The sequence below is a fragment of the Homo sapiens genome, chromosome 3 (assembly GCF_000001405.40).
Source record: "Homo sapiens chromosome 3, GRCh38.p14 Primary Assembly".
Lineage (NCBI taxonomy): Eukaryota > Metazoa > Chordata > Mammalia > Primates > Hominidae > Homo > Homo sapiens.
In genome coordinates, this window is record NC_000003.12 from 34,354,127 (window position 1) to 34,372,375 (window position 18,249).

General features: G+C 41.4%; 1 long non-coding RNA gene across 16 annotated transcripts in view, besides 2 other annotated features; it reads left to right on the forward strand.

Annotated features, from left to right (window-relative positions):
- Positions 1-18,249, forward strand: part of LINC01811 (long intergenic non-protein coding RNA 1811) — a 276,733-nt gene that overhangs the window by 194,763 nt on the left and 63,721 nt on the right. For 3 of the 16 annotated variants that reach the window (NR_183686.1, NR_183685.1, NR_183689.1), the window contains 2 exons: positions 6,145-6,235; positions 6,679-6,895. The exons of 10 other annotated variants lie outside the window; for them this stretch is intronic. This is a non-coding gene — a long non-coding RNA (long intergenic non-protein coding RNA 1811). Of the gene's footprint in view, positions 1-6,144; positions 6,236-6,678; positions 6,896-13,253; positions 13,343-18,249 lie in introns of all 16 variants that reach the window. 3 more of the 16 variants (NR_183680.1, NR_183687.1, NR_183688.1) reach the window with 2 other exon arrangements.
- Positions 7,727-7,796: an enhancer, noted in NCBI's record as "active region_19657". NCBI's record gives its function as "activates an Ori minimal core promoter by ATAC-STARR-seq in GM12878 lymphoblastoid cells {active_cell/tissue: GM12878}" and the evidence as "EXISTENCE:reporter gene assay evidence [ECO:0000049][PMID:35858748]".
- Positions 7,807-7,976: an enhancer, noted in NCBI's record as "active region_19658". NCBI's record gives its function as "activates an Ori minimal core promoter by ATAC-STARR-seq in GM12878 lymphoblastoid cells {active_cell/tissue: GM12878}" and the evidence as "EXISTENCE:reporter gene assay evidence [ECO:0000049][PMID:35858748]".

The following is an 18,249-nucleotide window of genomic DNA, read 5'->3' on the forward strand; positions in this document are numbered from 1 at the left end:
TCATTATTTTTCATATTTAATTAATATTTGCCTTGCTTTTCTTTATAGTTTTGTGACATATGTATGGAGTCTAAACAGTATATTATTTGGTATTGTCTGTATTTTATCTTTTATATGAATGGAATAGAGACTATTTCCTCAGCATTAAACCTTTTAAGTCCATACATCTTGTTCCATCTCATTGTACTTCATGTATTTCTATTGCTTTACAATATTCCATTGTATGAATATACTCTATTTATTTATTCATCCTGTTAATGGCCATTAGGTCTGCTTTAAGTTTTTAATCTATTATGGATAATGCTACTATAAACATTTATGTATGTATTTCATCTTATGGCGTACAGGTACCAGAATTTCTCTAGGATATATTCGTATGAGTGAAATTCCTCGCTCATAGTCTGTAAATGCATTTAACTTCAAGAGGTAATGGAAAACTGGGTGCGGTGGCTCACACCTGTAATTCCAGCATTTTAGGAGGCTGATGTGGGCTGATGACTTAAGTTCAGGGGTTCAAGACCAGCTTGGGAAACATAGAAAAACCTCATATCTACAGAAATACAAAACATTAGCAGAGCATGGTGGTACATGCCTGTAGTCCCAGCTACTCAGGAGGCTGAGGTGAGAGGATCTCTTGAGCCTGATGGTGGAGGCTGCAGTGAACCTAGATTCAGCCACTGCACTTTAAACTGGGTGATTAGGTGAGACCCTGTCTCAAAAAGAGGTAATGGAAAATTGTTTTCCAACATGGTTGTAACAATCTATTATGTCTACCAGCAGTGGCAGAGAGTTGGTGTGGCTCTATGTCCTTGCTAGCACTTCATGTTTGCTAATCTGGTAGATGTGACACAGTGTCTCATTGTGGTTTTAACTTGCATTCCCCTGGTTGCACTTGAAGTTTTTTTCTCAGGCATTAATATTATTGCCCTCATACTCTTCCTAATTATTATGGACAAATATCACATAGACTCTTGCATGGTTTATGGGGAAACCTGCCTTTTTTATCTCCTTCATGCTGACAGGGTTAGTGGATAGGCAGCAACGCAAACACAGAAATATCCTCTCTGGATGCAATTGAACAAATTTGTGCCTCTGCATGAATCAAAATTCCATTATTTCTCCTAGGTTTTGGAGGGAGAAACACCCAGGTTTATTATAATAATATTCCATCTCCATCACAAACTAGCAGAAAGAACTTGAGAAAAGTTATTTAACTTCTTGAAATTTTAGTTGCCTCAGTAATAAGATAAACACAATAGTATTCCTCAATGCTGGATATTGACTGTTGATTCTAAGCTCTTTCTTGTTTTTTAGGGGCTAAAATTCTGAAAACTACATTTTCCAGGACCCCTGGTCAACAGGGTTCTGGTTTAGTTTTTCCAATGTGGGACATGTAGGTAGCGGCCCTTTAAGACAGAAGAGGAGAAGCATTTGTTGCTCTCTTGTTTTGGAGAATAGCCATGTAGACATGTAATGAACATGAAATTCACAGTATCTTCCAGGTGAACTTCTGTGAAACCCTACTTCAGTGTAACATGCAGATGAGATCATTGGCAGGGGCTTCCTGTGGTTCGAATATTTTCTAATTTCTTCAAAGCTAGCAGAAGTTCTCACCAGCCTTCAGTCTTTAGTCATTGTATTTAATACTCTCTGTATTAATCCATTTCTCTAAAACAAAGTGGTTTTTAAGAGAATTCTGAAATATAAACCTGAATTCTGACTGCTATACATTACCTCACCCTACCTAACTACTTTGGGCTGTTGTGAAGATTCATGGAGTAATTCATGTATAACACCTAGTATGAGCCTGGCACATAGTGGGTATTCTATAAGCACTCACTTTCTCCACTTTTTTTTTTAAAGAGGATTATCTCCAACTTTGAAATGTAGAAATGGAAACAGATGGAGAATGGTGAGGAAGCTTGCTTTAGACAGTAAATTAGGAGACCTTGGATGAGCGTGCATATGAAACTTGGTTTCCATGACACCCAGGCCAGGGCTTGAATGCATCTTCTCCAGCACTGCCAAATCTGTGGTGAGGGTCTCAAATGTCTGAGAGCCAGCTTTGTGAGCTGCTCGCCAGGTTCAGTCTCCACCAGGTGTGTTGGAATGCCAGCATCCCTCTCTCACTGCGACGCTGACTTTCTTTATAGTGTTTACTCTGAATTTCATTTAAAAAATCCCTACCTAGAGTTATTCCTTGATCAGGTTCCTGCTAATACCTGCCAGGAAATTTTCTAAACCATTTTCTAGGTTGAGTCAACAAATAGAAACTACCTCCCTCCACACTGTTGAAGCTTCATCTGGAAAGTAATTGGTGTAGCTATGGCCTGTTCATTTCTCCACTGGCCTCAAACAGGCTTGAAATAAAGTTCAAAGTGTGACTGGTTAACAATCAGAAATGCTGACAGGCCTGAGCTCATTTCCCGAGACTCCTCTGCTACTGTGTTTTGGCATTTTCATAGTCCTTCATGAACAATCTCAGAAAAGCTAGGCTGCAAATCAAATTCTATCTTCAGAGTTCTTGCTCTTTTTAAAATATCGAAAGAAATGCTGCACGGAGAGGGGATGGTATCCTCTTCCCTTCTCGGCATCATCCTTCCCATCCATTCTCTGTGTGAATTAAGCAAAGCATGCCTCTGTTGTCCTCAAGTTTCTCCTTTCTAAACCTTTTCTCCTCTTCTAAGATCCCCCTTTACACATCAAAGTCTCAGTGTTCTGAATGAATGTGTATTACTGTGTTCCCTCTCCAAGGGATATATACATTTTTAAGGCCTGTTTCTGCCTGGTGTGGAAAGCTCTGCTTACTTTTGTCCTCAACACACATATAAAATGCCTTATGTGTAACTGGCATTGTGATAGGCAGTGGGGACAAGAATGCAGAAACTCTTCCTGTTCTCAAGAAGTCCAGAAGGGAAGACATTACCATACAGTGTATGGTGCCAGCTTTTCTGTGGGAGCTCAGGCTTGGGGAAGGTCATGGGTATCAGAGGATGAGCTTGAAGAGCAACTTGGGCAAAGCAGGGGAGGACTCACACTGAGGTTGAGTAGCCGCGGGATTTTCATCCCTCTCTGGCTGGTGAAACTCCCTCTGGGATATCCATGAGACTTTTCCTGCTCACTGGATCTGCTGGCAGAACATGTAGGGTGGCTTTGTTTGAGAGAGTCCAGCTTCAAGAGAGCCTCATCCTGAGGAGCTAAGAATGTGTTCTTTAGAAATAGGGACATTACAGGGAGGTACGAGAGGAGCTGCTGGGAATTGGTGGGAGTGATGTGGGTGGCGGGAGTGATCTGCCACCACTCTCTTTGCTCTAGAACAAGGCAAGCCCCCTTAGGCACACATAATGCCAGCACAGAGCACAAGTGGCCAGGGACCTGTCCATTTGCCCATCTATGTGTCTGCAGTTATAGTAAGGCATATTACCAGAGCTGACTGATGGGCTTCCCGTGGTGCTCTTGGATCTCAAGCCAGACACCTCTGCAAGCCTCTAAGCAACTCCGCAAGACTGACTCCGGGGCTGCAGAGTCAGGCCAGAAGTGTTAGAGATGGGCGTGTGCTTTTCAGAGAGAGAGGACATGATGATTCATTAGTCATTTATGGAACACCTGCCTTGTTCCAGCACTGCACTTGGTAAATGACAGAATCCCTGCCACAGACTAGCAGGGGAGACAAAATGTAAATTATCAAAGCACAGAGCAGGGACCATCCCTTGGGAACTATCTGGAAAATATGTCAAGATTCAGGGAATTTAGTGGGAGACATGCTGATATCAGGGGTTGGAGACCTGGTTTAGAGGCTTTGGAATTAGGAAACTTTTGTAGTTTTAGTGCCCTAAAAGCACATCCTGAGATAGGGACCTGGGTAAGTCATTTATTTGGGCAATGATCTCAGGCAGCACAGTAAGAGTGTGGGTAAGTGGGACAGGGTGGGTGGGGAAGGCCAATAAAGGTGCATTGGTAAGCAGGTCACTGCCATGGGCAACAGGTGTCAATCCTGATGGGGACCTTATAAGGGGATGTTTAGAGCACATTTCAGATTCTGTCCCTGTAAGGGGTGAGGAAGCTGGGACATTTACTCACTAGCTCCTATCACAGCTCAGCATTGAGAGTGGCCCCCAGGACCTTACCTCCTTGGCACTTCTGGCCTGTCCTGAGCCCAGACTGAGCATATGCCCAGGACACGAGAGTGTGCATATGGAAACAGACTGTGGGTGACCTCAAGGTGTCAAGAAAGGCCCTGGATGGGCCCTGATACTTTCTGCTATGGGAGCCAATAGAAGGGAAAAGACACATCATGAAGCTACTTGAATCAGGGGTGTTGGCCGTGAAATGCTGTACCCTCTAAGCTTCATTTTACTTTTTCAATTTTGTTTACTCCTTTCGATGGATGGAGGGAGGGTCAGATTATCCAAAGTGTCCTTTTTCCCATTTTTATACTATGGTCACCTATGTCAGAATAAAGTGAAAAAGAAAAAAATGTATATATAGGCTGGTTTGTGTTAATTAGGGTATATGAGTGTGTGAACGTATATGTTTACATTCATTTACATATAAAGGTGTAGGTGTATATTTGTTTGTACATCTTATATATGGATTTTGTGATTTCTCAGTAAAATAATAGAGCCAAAAAGGAGGAGGGTCATTCTTTTAACATACTCACACTAGGGCCCTCCTATTTTACTTGGTGATCAGTTTATTACAGTTTAGCATATGTTAAAAACAACGTTAGCTGTGCCTTCTGTGTTTTATCTCTAGAGTTAGGTTTATTACTTAGTGCTTTACTGGGGAAATTAGTCTGACAAGTTTTGATTTTAGAGCCATCTCATTTCCTGGCAAAGCATCTCCATCTTTTCTTACTGTTTTTTAAGGCAGGAATAAAGAGTGGTCATTTTTTTATACCAGGGAGAGTATCAGGCAATTGGATTAAAGGAAATGGAATACATTTGGCCTTGTTTGCCAAATCCCTTTGTGGTTTTCCTCATTTGTAAAATGGGAATGATGCTGTCTGTTGCAGAGGGTGATTGTCAATATGTAATGAGATAATGGATCTAAGAAGACTTCTAGACTCCAATGTCAGGCAGGCTTCAAGGAGAGACTAAGAGGCGGCCTGATTCCAGGAACATCTAAGAACTTTACCCAGTGGGTGTGTTGGAGCATGGGGTTAAGGCAGTAAACAGCTTTACTTCAACTCACACAGCCCAAAGACACCTCTGTGAAAAGGAAGAGCTCCCTGTGAGCAATCTAAGTCCATCAACTGTATGAGCAAAAACTGCATTAGAAACAGGGAGAGAAAAGCGGATGTGGCAGAGAGTGGGAAGTGCTAATAATACATTTGGAAGGTCCACTCCATCGGATGCCATTCTTGTGGCTCTACAACAGCATTTCACTTCTTCTACATGCTATTTTTCCATAGCAGTCATTGTTATTATCATTCTAGAAAAAATGTGGCTTAGAGAGTAACTTCAGAAAAGCATTTGAATCCAGGTCTGTCTGATGCTCAAACTTACCTTCCTTCTGCATGGTGTTGCAAACCCAAGAAAGAAGCCTGGTATTGCTACTTAAAGCAGCCTACAGTCATCATTGTTACAATGCTGCCTTTTTGTAGCAGAAGAGGGAAACATAGGAGGCCTTATGTAACTGTAATAGGTTCATTACCTGATGCACACAGTAAGTCAACGAATTGAGACACTGTGTTTCAGCAGAGAAAGGTTTAGTCATAGGGCCACCAAATGAGGAGATGGGGGGAACGCTCAAATCCCTCTCCCTGAGGTTAGGGTTTTTTAAGGATTTTGGAGTGGACTGAATTGTAGAGAATGTTGACTGGTTGAAGAGCGCAGGGTAAAGTCATGGGACAGGGAGATGAAGAAACTATATTTTTATTCTGATTTGATTCCTCTGTGGGGGTCTTTCAACTGATTGGCTTCAGCCATTCCACTGGAATTTGGGATCTCAAAGACATCTTAAGTGATGATTAAACAAAAGCCTTATAATTCTGTCAGAGATCTTGTCTACAGCAGCAATGGGGATGCAAATTGTCACTATCTAGTGCTATGTGATTTTGGCAAGGAAGTGGGCCAAGTGCAGCATGATTGATGTTTAATTATAACCATATTTCTGTTCATAATTCTTGTTAACCCTGTGAAGATGGCTTCACTTGCTTATTGGCTGAAGGTCTGCAAGGACTCAATTCACATATCTGATCATACCTGGAGTCCAGACTTTCTCCTGATGCCTGGTAAGAACCCTAGGTTCAAGGATGCATTTACTGTGTCTCTGAAATTTTCCTCCTAACCTCAGGATTAGTTCTCACTCAGAGCTCCAGTCTCTACTCCATGCATTTCTTATCCACACTCTTTTCCAGGCATCCCATTTTTTTACAGTTCCTAAACTTGCCACACTAATCCATGCATCCATGCCTCTGCCTTAAAATGCCCCTCTTCTTTCCCACAATTATCTTGCTCTTGTTCTTTTTCTAGGGCTCATATCATGTGTCTTCTTTCCCATGCAACCTTTTTAGATCCGCCCAAGCAGAATTTACTACTCCCTTCATTGTGTCATCACAAACCTATGCCATATTTGCACTTAACTCATTGCATTGCCATTATAAATTTGTTTTTCCATGGCAGAAACTGTTAAGACTCAGCAACAGTGTGTTGTGTGTTCCTCTATATTTCCCAGACCCCTTTGCCATTAGGTCGGCTCCGTATGACTGAGTTCTAGCCAGTGAGGTATGGGCAGAAGTGATGTGTACCAATTGCGAGCTCGACTTTTGAAATCATCCCACGTGATCCTCCTGCCATCTACCAGCCATCCTTTTTGATCTTGAAGGTCTTATGCCTCAGATTGTGTAACTACAGGATGAAGGAAGGCCACTCAACCCACACTTGGACATGATGTAAGCAAGAAATAAACTTGTAATGTATTAAGCCACTAAAATGTTGGGTATGTTGGGCAGATGGCATTAATTACCTTGATTAATATGATATCTGTTTTTCCTGTTATTTGTGAGTTCCTTGTGGATGAGGATGTTGACTAGTTATCTAGGCATTCTTAACACCAAGCAAAAGTACAATAACTAAGAAAGGCAAGTGAAGACATTTCTCATGAAATTTCAAGTAAGGGCATTTCAAGTTCTTGCACAGCTAAAGTTTTCAAGGCCCAGTGCCACATTCTCATCTTGGCTGACAATCAGATAAGAGAATTCCTACGTGGCTGCAGCTTTATCAGCTCGGGTGGGTTGCAAAGTCAGCCACTGAAGATTGGCTGCCTGTTTGTACCTTGTGTTTTCTGCTATAGTTCTCTTTTCCCTTCTTTTGTGCTGTGGAAATATATTAGCAGAGCACTCAGATTTCATGTTCAAGGTTAGAATACAGTTATTCCTGCTTTATGTTTCTTCATTCACTCCATCTCTGATTCTGAAAAGGGAGGGAATAGTCAGGTCCATCTTCCCTCTGAGAGTCTGCTCTGACCACCAGCCTCATGACAAATGTTTGTGATGGACTCTACCAGATAGAACTAAGGAATTGGTGAATGGAGGAGCACAGGCTGTGTGGACGTCCATATTGATTACAAATATCATAACTGATTTGAACTATATTATTTATATAAATCTCGAAGACTTCTCTAAAAATTTCAATTTCCTAGGTCAATGGCCAAAACATATAGTATTGGTTGTGGCAAGAACCAAGAGTCAAGTCAACTAAGTACCAGTTGTATAAATGTTATTTCATTTCATCCTCTAGAGCAATTCTAGGGAGCTGCATGCCTGTTTATCAGATGAGGGAAAGAGATTCACACGGGCTGGTTAAGCATGTCTAGAATCCCACATTTGCACACATCACAGGCTGTCTAGCTCTCTGTCCTTGTTGTTTCTACTCTACTGTGCTCTGTGACCTCATTTCTCAGTTTCCTTATTGAGCCTCGTTTAACTGCCCGGTGTCCTATGCGTGTCCCAGCTCCTCAGTTCCTGCTGGCATGAGCTGGTACATGTGATTTTTGTTCTCTGTCATTGTTTCCTCTTTTGAAGCAATTTGCTGCTTTGACAAGAGAAGACACAAACCACATTGAGTGCACTTTCTCTTTCAGTGAGAGCGCTCCTTCCTCTCTCACTACACTGGGGTATGGTCACCCCAGAAAACTTCTACTGTTATTCTGGTTGGAAGACAAAAATTTGAGACTGTTGCATATTTTTCTTCCCACTAAGACTGAGAAAGAATTATCTCAAGTGAACTAAATTCTGTGGTCATGAATAGATCACACTGATTGATTATCCGGGAGGTACTAGATTATTCTCAGAACAGAGTCCTTACCTCCTGTTTTTAGAAAGTCTGAATGTCTGGAGTTTCATCTAGGAAGAACAGTTAATTAAGGCTTCTTAAAGGTACTGAGACACTACAGTGAAGATCATGTTGGATTCTGCAGCTTGAAAAGAAGCCAGGTGGAGACAAAAGAGATGGTAAATACCTACTCATAGTGGGCGTGGGCTCGTATCTCTGTGCAGCTCCTCTGTGGCTTTCTGTCCTTCAGATTCATAATGTGCCTGCTGTCAAAATTCCTACTTGGCATGATAATAAAGGAATACATTATAGAGTTAGGAAGACTCGATTTCCAATCCCAGCTCAGTCACTCATTAGCTCACTGGTTGTGTATCTTGGGCAAGTCAATTCACTTTTTAATCGTCTCAGTTGTCTCACATGTATGTAATTAGTATGTGGAATAACCATAATGCTTGGGGTATAATCAAGGTGCAGCAGTTTTTCTGCCTCCTCCTCCTCGTCTTATACTGTTCTTTTGAACTTTTTTTTTTTTTTTTATTGGAGAAGGGCTTTTCTATGCCGTTATACAAAAGCTCAGGAGTCTCCATGGCTTTTCTGTTCACTCTCAGAAAACCTGTGTCTACTTTAAATAAAGGAATACGAAATGAACAATAAAACACACTAGTAATTCTGGAACAACAAGTCCAGCCCAGACGTTAATCATGACTTTAATCTTCATTCAAATATAAGACTTCCCCTGCCTGGGGAAGACCTACATTTCATGGCCACCTGCCTTCAGGGAAGAGAGTGTGATGACGTGACATTTCTTTCTTGTCCCAGCATTTACTCCTTTCCCTTGTTGGCTAGCAGAGGTTTTGCCCTTGCCAGGGTGAAAATTTATAGAGCGTGGAGGGCAAAAGAGGATACAAGAAAGTTCTTATGCATCTGACAACTGGTGTTCTCCTTCTCTGGCTCCTTGCTTTTGAGGTCTGGCAGAGTTTAGAGCCCCCTTGTATTTCTCTCTCAAAGGACACTTTCATGAGCTATTTGGGAATTCCTTTTGCTTAGATCCTTTTTTGCAAAATCCTTAACCTCCAAGGAGGATCCCTAGCTGTTATCCACTTTTATCTCCTACCTGCTGGGGCCCACTTACCTCTCTAGTTTTAAAAAATGGTCTATGGTAGGCAGAATCCCAAAATGACCATAAATAAACTTTACCTTTGTATAATTCCCTCCCCTTGAAAGTGAGTGGAATCTTAGACTATGATGAGATATGACTTCTGTGATTGTTACACTACATGGGAAAAAAAGATCTGCACATGCAACTAATGTTAATTCTTTAGTTGACTTTGTACTTAAGTATAGGTTACTTTTGCAATCACTTGACTTTGAGTTAAACAAAAGGGAGAATATTCAAGTTAGCTGCATCTAATCACACAAACCCTTTAAATCTGGGCCTAGAGGTCAGAGACAGAGGAAGTCATATATTTGAAGTGTGAGAGGGATTTTCTGTTGCTGGTTTTTAAGATGGATGAGGCCATGTGGTAAGTAATGTGGGTGGCATTTAGGAGCTAAGAGCAGCCCCAGCTGATAGCTAGCAAGGAAACAAGGACTTTCATTCTAGAGCAGCAAGTAACTGAATTTGGCCAACAACCTGAATGAGCTTGGGAGCAGATTCTTCCCTGGGGCCTCTGGAAAGGAATGCAGCTCAGCTGGTACCTTGATTATAGCTCCTTAAGGCCCTGAACAGAAAACTGAGTTATGCTGTGCCTGGACTTCTGACCTGCAGAAATGTAAGCTAGTAAATGAATGGCATTTTAAAGCACTAAGTTTGTGATACTTTGTTACACAGCATTGGAAAACTAATACAGTGCCTAAGAGGAGCCTGTGCTGCCTGTTTTATGCATACCACTATTGTTGGGTGCCTGGAAAATACATATCCTTTGCACTGACAAAACCTGCAAATGCACACCTTTACTAATGCACTGAACTTCAGAAAGCACTAAATCGACTTGCCAGGTTGTGTTCCCTGTCCTCCACTATTTAGAGGACAAGGGTCATATTTCAGTACACTGACTATCCAGGAGACACATATTAGCCTTCCTGAGTGATTCATACAAAGACCTTCCTCATCACTGAACTTGAGTCTGCATGCTTGAGTGAGTAAGGGAAACTGGTCTGCCAATTCTCTCTGTTCCCTGTAGGGACTTTGAGGAACTTCCCCAGGAGTCCCTGATTCATCTTTTGTTCTTCCAGGGATTAGCAAAAGTCAGTGTGGCAAGCTCTATGAGGGCACAGAAATGAAGAGAGGATGGGTTAGGGTTTTGACTTTTCACCAGTCCACACGTCTTTAGAAAACTTGGAAGTCTTCTCATAGACAGCCTGGTTTTATTTCTGTCTTTTCTAAATCCCCTGGCTTCGTGAATAATGCCCCACAAATGACTAGAGTAAACCAGTCTTGGAAAATGGCTGGCAGTGAGGGAGGCCACTTGTTGAATTGACCCTGGTTTCCCAGATGGTCTCAAATGGTTACTCTTGGCAGTCTAGGGATGTTTCTTGGTTGGGGAAAGGAGGTAGTCAGAACATAGCTTTTTCTAGATCAGTGGTTCTCAAACTCTGGCCTGCATCAGAATCACCTGAAGGCTTATTAAAACAGAAATTACTGGGCCTCACTCCCAGAGTTTCTGATTCAGTGGGTCTGCTGTGGGGTCTGATAATTTACATTTCTAATAAGTTGCTAAATTATTAATGCTGCTAGTCTGGAGGCTGCATTTTGAATATCATTTCTCTGTAGATATATTTCAAAGGAAATGTTCTTTTTCCATATTCTAACCTTTTTTCATATCTGTGATTTGCCTATAGAAGCCAATCCATGTGGAAATAGTTCTCAAACATTTCCTTTTATATCCAGCATTTTGTCTGGCATCTAACTTCGGCATGTACACCTGTTGCGTCTTGGTGCCTTCCTCAAAACTTAATTTTAACATCTTGTTTTCGGTAAAAAGTGGAAAACAGTAACTACTTTTTGGGCAGATTGTGATCATTAAATAAGTTGGTATATAGAGAAGAAATACATGTTGGCACCCTTATCTGTGCTTCCCAGCCCAACTGCTTGCTGAATTTGGGGTGGGATTTGAGAGTTTAAAGACCACTGTACACAATAATTAATTTTTGAAGGAATTGATCCTGGGAGGGCAGGTAATCAGTTCTTTTGAGAAGGCATTAAGAGGATATGGGAAGTAGATGTTTTACTGATTTCTCAGTGGCCTGCAGCTTGTGAAATAACAAACCTGATCCTGAAAAGTGACTGTAAAGTTATCAAAAAAATTATTTGGATCATACATCCTTAATCCCAAAAGAACTCCCAAGAGAATCTCCCAAAGGACAATACTTAATGCATGCACTGTCCTCTGAGCCCACAGGCTTCTCACATAGCTGTGAAGAGTCCAGCACTTAGCTGAGGCCTCAGCGGCTATGACATGGCTTCAAACAAGCCATCTGCAAAATATCTAGAAAGACAAGTGTGTACCATCTTCTTTCTTTCTGGTCTCTAATTTATTGGCAGAGAAATGTTAAGTGGATTTTTTTTAAAGCATCACCATATTGCAGAAACAGATTGAAGGAAGATGGATTTGGGGGAATAGAATTTGCTACAGGAGAGAATCCAGGTCCTGAGAATGAAGGCATGTGACTGAGGCTACAGCCCGTGCAATCTCCCTGAATAAAGTGAAAGCTTCTTAACTATGAAGAGCCATAACACAAGCACCATTTCTTGAGCAGTTACTTTGTGCAAAATCCTGTGCTACATGCTTTTTATAAATTGTTTAACTTTTAACAAATGCATGAGTTAATTACTATTATTATTCCAGTTTTACAAGTAGGGCAATACACATAGTCTTTTTAAGGTTGCACAGCTATGAAGTGGTGAAGTCAGAATTTGAAACTGTGGTTAGTCAGACTCCAAGCTGTAGAAAACTTAAAATGAGATCAAGCATTATTGTTCAAATTTACTAACCCCATGTTATGAACTGAATTGTGTTCTGCACAAACTAACATGTGGAAGCCCTAACCCTCAATGTGACTGTCAGCCTTTAAAAAGGCAATTAATATTAAAGAGGTCATAAAGGTGGGGCATTAATCAAATATGATGGTATCCTCATAAAAAGAGGAAGAGACACTCGGAATTCACATGCATAGATTGAAAACCCTTTGAGGACACAACAAGAAGGTGGCCATCTACAATCCAAGAAGACAGGCCTCAGGGGAAACTAAACCTGCTGATACCTTGAACTTGGACTTCCAGTCTCCAGCCTCTACAAGAGTGAGCAAATACATATTTTTTGTTTAAGCCAACCACTCTGTGGTATTTCATTATGGCAGCCCTAGCAAACTAGTGTACCATGCCACCTTGATGGGTGGAGTGTACTTTGCTATCCCCTGACTTTGTGTTTGGTGATAGAATAGTCTTTGGTTGGTGGAATGTTAGTAGACTTGATATATCGAGTAGAGACTTAAAAAACATCTGGGTAGTTTGACTTGCTCTCTTAAACCTGTGACTGTGAGAAGAACATACTCTGCCTAGGCGGTTCAAGGAAAATGAGAGACACATGGAGTATAGCCTTGCAGCTTGAAGTAGAGGTACCTGGCTGAACCCAGCCTATGTCAGGCAACTGTCAGATGCAGTGGTTTGAAGCCAAGCTGCCTGCAACTGGCCCCTATACCCATGACAGTAAATGATCATTGTCTTAAGCTCCTGAGTTTGGGGGTGTTCTGTTACACAGCATTACTGTGGCAGTAGCTAACTGATCATTAATCAAAGGTCGGAATAGGAAACTTTACAATGTTTCTGCACAATAATTTATCTGGCCATTCATTAGAGAGAAGGTGGATAAGTAATACCTCTAATAATTCTTCCAACAATTCAAATTAGGAGAAGAAGTTACATTTCTCTAAAAGTATAAATAAAGTGGATTGAACTATTATTTATATCTCTTCCAGGACAATATTTGAGAAAAAGAAAGAGAAGAGGATGGACTTTTTAGACTCAGCTATACTGCTGAGTTCAAATGTCTTGGAACTTAGTAGCTGTGAGTGACCTGGCACAAGTTATAACGTCTCATTAAAATTCAGTTTTTCTATCTGTAAAATGGAGATGCTAATAATATTATCCTTTTTACCCGCATTGGTCCTGATTCCCTAATTGGAAAATTCTGACTCAGAGTGTCTACTTATGGTCAAGAAATCTTGAAGGGACAGAGGTAGGGTATGTTTGAGAAACACAAACTTTTAGGGAATTGATTTGGTATCCAGGTATGTGGAGATATTTAGCCCAGAGGAACCAGCAGTACAGGATGAGGCTGCTTTTCTTGCTGCCCTGTGTTGATTTTAGTTTTGAATCCTTAGTATGCAGCCTGAGGGAGAAGATTGTAATCCCAGACCTTCAGAGATGGAAGAGCCTACCTGGGTATTATAGAGTACAGGAGTTTTCTCAATCTTGATTGACTTGAAAGCTCTAGATCAACAAGTTGGGGTCCTGATTAATAATTCAGATTCCATGTTTCAGAAGTTATTTGTGTTGTGACCTGGGAAAAACTACTTAGTGTTTTTTTTTTGAGTGTTTGTTTCTTGATTTGTAGAAAGAGGTTAATAGTACTGTGTCCCTTACAGTGTAAAGATTTCTGTAATTATTAAAATCACATTAAACCAAGGCTACTATAAAGCTTTTAGTACAGCATCGAGCTGCCAAAGAGTCCTCACAAATATAATTTTGAAATATTTCATTTATTCACTCCTATCCCCTCCTTTTGCAGATAAGTAAACTGAGGTTCCCTGAGGCAAGCTGACCTTCCCAAAGTCACAGGACTCTAAATGTCATAGCTAAGACTAGAAAATCTTTGCAAATGACAGCTACATAATGAAGAGACATTCTCACCTGTTCACATTTTAAGATGCATGTGTATCCTGGAGGCCCAGGAAAGAAGTCTAGAATTATACATTATCAATATTGAAAATGATCCAGCATCTAGCCTGTCACTATTGCAAGAATACTCTCTATAGTTTCTATCAGTAGCTTGGGTTCACCTGTTTTACCACCAGTGACAGGATTCTCATTACCTACTGTGTCAACACATTCCATCTTGAACAGCTTGTTAGAAAACTGTTCTTTATATTGAGCCTTAATACAACTTCCACTTCTGAAATGACACAGAATGAATGAATGAATTAAATGAATCTAATGCTTCTTTTTAATTTTTTTACAGCATGGCCTTTCAATATTTGAAGACAGCTCTTGTGTCTCATGCTCTCATCAATTATTCCATCCATAAATTGTTTAGGTCAATTTAGGTTGAGTTTTCCATTTATTACCACTAAAAGAATCCTGATACACACTATTCAATACACACTTGCTGAATAAGTGTGTATTGAACCGTGTGTGTCAGGATTCAATACACACTTATTCAGCAAGTGTGTATTGAACAGTGTGTATCAGGAGTCTTCTAGTGGTAATTCGTGGAAAACTCAAATTGACCTAAATAATTTATTCATTAATTTATCCACTCATTCATTCATCTATTTGGCAAATTCTTACTGAGTACATTTTATGTTTCAGACATGTTCTGGATGCTGAGGATAGAACAGTAAATAAAACAGTCTGTAGCCACGAGGAGCTTGCCTTCTAGTGTGTGAAGATAGAGAAACAACAAATTAATGTGTTCATCTCAATGAATACATATGCAATATTTCAGGTGATAAGTGATATGGAAAAAACTAAGCAGAATGAAGGGCACAGAGAATGCCAAGGAGTAGGGATATGGGAGTGTGAAGTATTTAACTGAAAATTTAAGAGGCAGGGCCCAATTTATTTCTCCATCTTCTTTCATCCGTGATTCTCTCAGGTCTGCTTTGTGCTAGACTGGCTTTCCTGATGGGAGCAATTTGGCTGCCAGTGGACCAGGGCTATGTGGACCAGTCTATTTTCTCATTTATGTCAAGGCAGTTAGGTGTTAGTTTGTATAAGCTAACAGGAATTCTGAGCTTCACTTTGAAAAAACCATCCCTGAACTCTGTGTCCAGGGGGAATATCATTCACTGATTATCTTTGCCCTTGACATATTCTCACACAAACTTATAGAGGGATATGTCTGATATAGTTTGGCTCTGTGTCCCCACCCAAATCTTATCTTGAATTGTACATCCATAATTCCCACGTGTTTTGAGAGGGACACAGTAGGAGATCATTTGAATCATGGGAGCGGTTTCCCCCATACTGTTCTCATGGTAGTTAATAAGTCTCATGAGATCTGATGGGTTTATCAGGGGTTTCCACTTTTGCTTCTTCCTCATTTTCTCTTACTGCCACCATGTAAGAAGTGCCTTTCACCTCTCGCCATGATTCTGAGGCCTCCCCAGCCACGTGGAACTGTAAGCCCAATTAAACCTCTTTTTCTCCCAGACTTGGGTATTTTATCAGCAGCATGAAAATGGACTAATACAGTAAATTGGTACCAGTAGAGTGCGGCATTGCTGAAAAGAAACTCGAAAATGTGGAAGCAACTTTGGAACTGGGTAACAGGCAGGGTTGGAATAGTTTGGAGGGCTCAGGAGAAGACAGGAAAATGTGGGAAACTTTGGAACTTCCTAGAGTCTTGCTGAATGGCTTTGACAAAAATGCTAATAGTGATATGAACAATAAGGTCCAGACTGAGGTGGTCTCAGATGGAGATGATGAACTTGTTGGGAACTGGAACAATGGTGACTCTTGTTATGTTTTAGCAAAGACACTGGTAGCATTTTGCCCCTGCCCTAGAGATTTGTGAAACTTTGAACTTGAGAGAGATGATTTAGGGTATCTGGTGGAAGAAATTTCTAAGCAGCAAAGCATGCAAGAGGTGACTTTGGTGCTGTTAAAGGCATTCAGTTTTAAAAGGGAAACAGAGCATAAAAATTTAGAAAATTTGCAGCCTGACAATGCAATAGAATAGAAAATATTATTTTCTGAGTTGAAATTCAAGCCAGCTGCTGAAATTTGCACAAGTAACGAGGAGCTCAATTTTAATCCCCAAGGCAATGGAGAAAATGTCTCCAAGACATGTCAGAGGTCTTCACAGCAGCCCCTCCCATCACAAGCCCAGAGGCTGAGGAGGAAAGTGGTTTTGTGGGCCGGCCCCAGGGTCCCTGTGCTGTGTGCCACCTAAGGACTTGGTGCCCTGCATCCCAGCAGCTCCAGCTGTGGTTGAAAGGGGCCAGTGTAGAGCTTGGGCTGTGGCTTCAGAGGGTGCAAACCCCAAGTCTTGGCAGCTTCTATGTGGGTGTTGAGCCTGAGAGTGTACAGAAGTCAGGGATTGGGGTTTGGGAAGCTCTGCCTAGATTTCAGAAGATGTATGGAAATGCCTGGATGCCCAGGCATAGTTGCTGCAGAGGTGGGGCTCTCATGGAGAACCTCCACTAGGGCAGTGAGAAAGGGAAAAGTGGGGTCAGAGCCCCCACACAGAGTCCCTACTGAGGTACAACCTAGTGGTGCTGTGAGAAGAGGGCCACCGTCCTCCAGACCCCAGAATGGTAGATCCAATGACAGCTTGCACCATGTGCCTGGAAAAGCTGCAGACATGCAGCACCAGTCCACAAAGCAGCTAGGAGGGAGGCTGTACCCTGAAGAGCCACGGGGCAGAGCTGCCCAAGACCATGGTAACCCATCTATTCCATTAGAGTGGCCTGGATATGAGACATGGAGTCAAAGGAGATCATTTTGAAGCATTAAGATTTGACTGCCCTGCTGGATTTCGGACTTGCATGGGCACTATAACCCCTTTGTTTTGGCTATTTTCTCCCATTTTATATCTAGGAAGAAACTAGCTTGCTTTTGATTTTACAGGCTTATAGGCAGAGGAAATTTGCCTTGTCTCTGGTGAGACTTCGGACTGTGGATTTTTGGGTTAATGCTGAAATGAGTTAAGACTTTGGGGGACTGTTGGGAAGGCATGATTGGTTTTGAAATGTGAGGACATGAGATTTGGAGGGGTCAGGGGCAGAATCATATGGTTTGACTCTGTGTCCCCACCCAAATCTCATTTTGAATTGTACTCCCATAATTCCCACATGTTTCGGGAGGGACACGGTGGGAGAGAATTTGAATCACGGGGGCAGTTTCCCCCATACTGTTCTTGTCGTAGTGAACAAGTCTCGCCAGATCTGATGGTTTTATCAGGTGTTTCTGCTTTCGCATCTTCCTCATTTTCTCTTGTTACCACCAAGTAAAAAGTGCCTTTCACCTCCTGCCATGATTCTGAGGCCTCCCCAGCCGTGGGGAACTGTAAGTCCAATTAAACCTCTTTTTCTTCCCAGTTTCAGATATGTCTTTATCAGCAGTGTGAAAATGAACTAATATAGTGTCTATGCCTAAAATTGGAAGTGTGCTCAAAGTCATCCAAAGCATATGACTGGCAGGCAACAGGGAAGTGTGGACTCTATGAACAGAAGGCAACTATGTTATCCATTACAGATACTATATCGAGGCACTCAGGGCTTACAAAGATAAATAAAACATGGCCCCTGACCTTAAGAGGGGTTGCAACTTAATGGTGAGAAACTGATTAATAGATTAATTCTATAACAGGGATAATAATTCAAGTTGGTCCAAAATAATCATCAGTCTCGTGGAGGTATGGAAATAGGGATTGTAGAAGAGTCATTCTAAAATAGTCAATATTCCAGATGTCCATGTTCATGTCCTTGCTTTTTACTTCCTCATCAGAAACAACCTTACACATGCAAGTTAAAGTGCTCTTTAATTTGAGGGGAGCATATTACACTACTCCATGTGACTTGCTTTAGCCAGTGGAATATCAGCAGACCTGAGGCCAGTAGAGGCTTTCAAGCAATTCTCCTGCCTCAGCCTTCTGAGTAGCTGGGATTACAGGCACCCACCACCACCCTTTGCTAATTTTTGTATTTTTAGTAGAGACAGGGTTTCACCATCTTGGCCAGGTTGGCATCG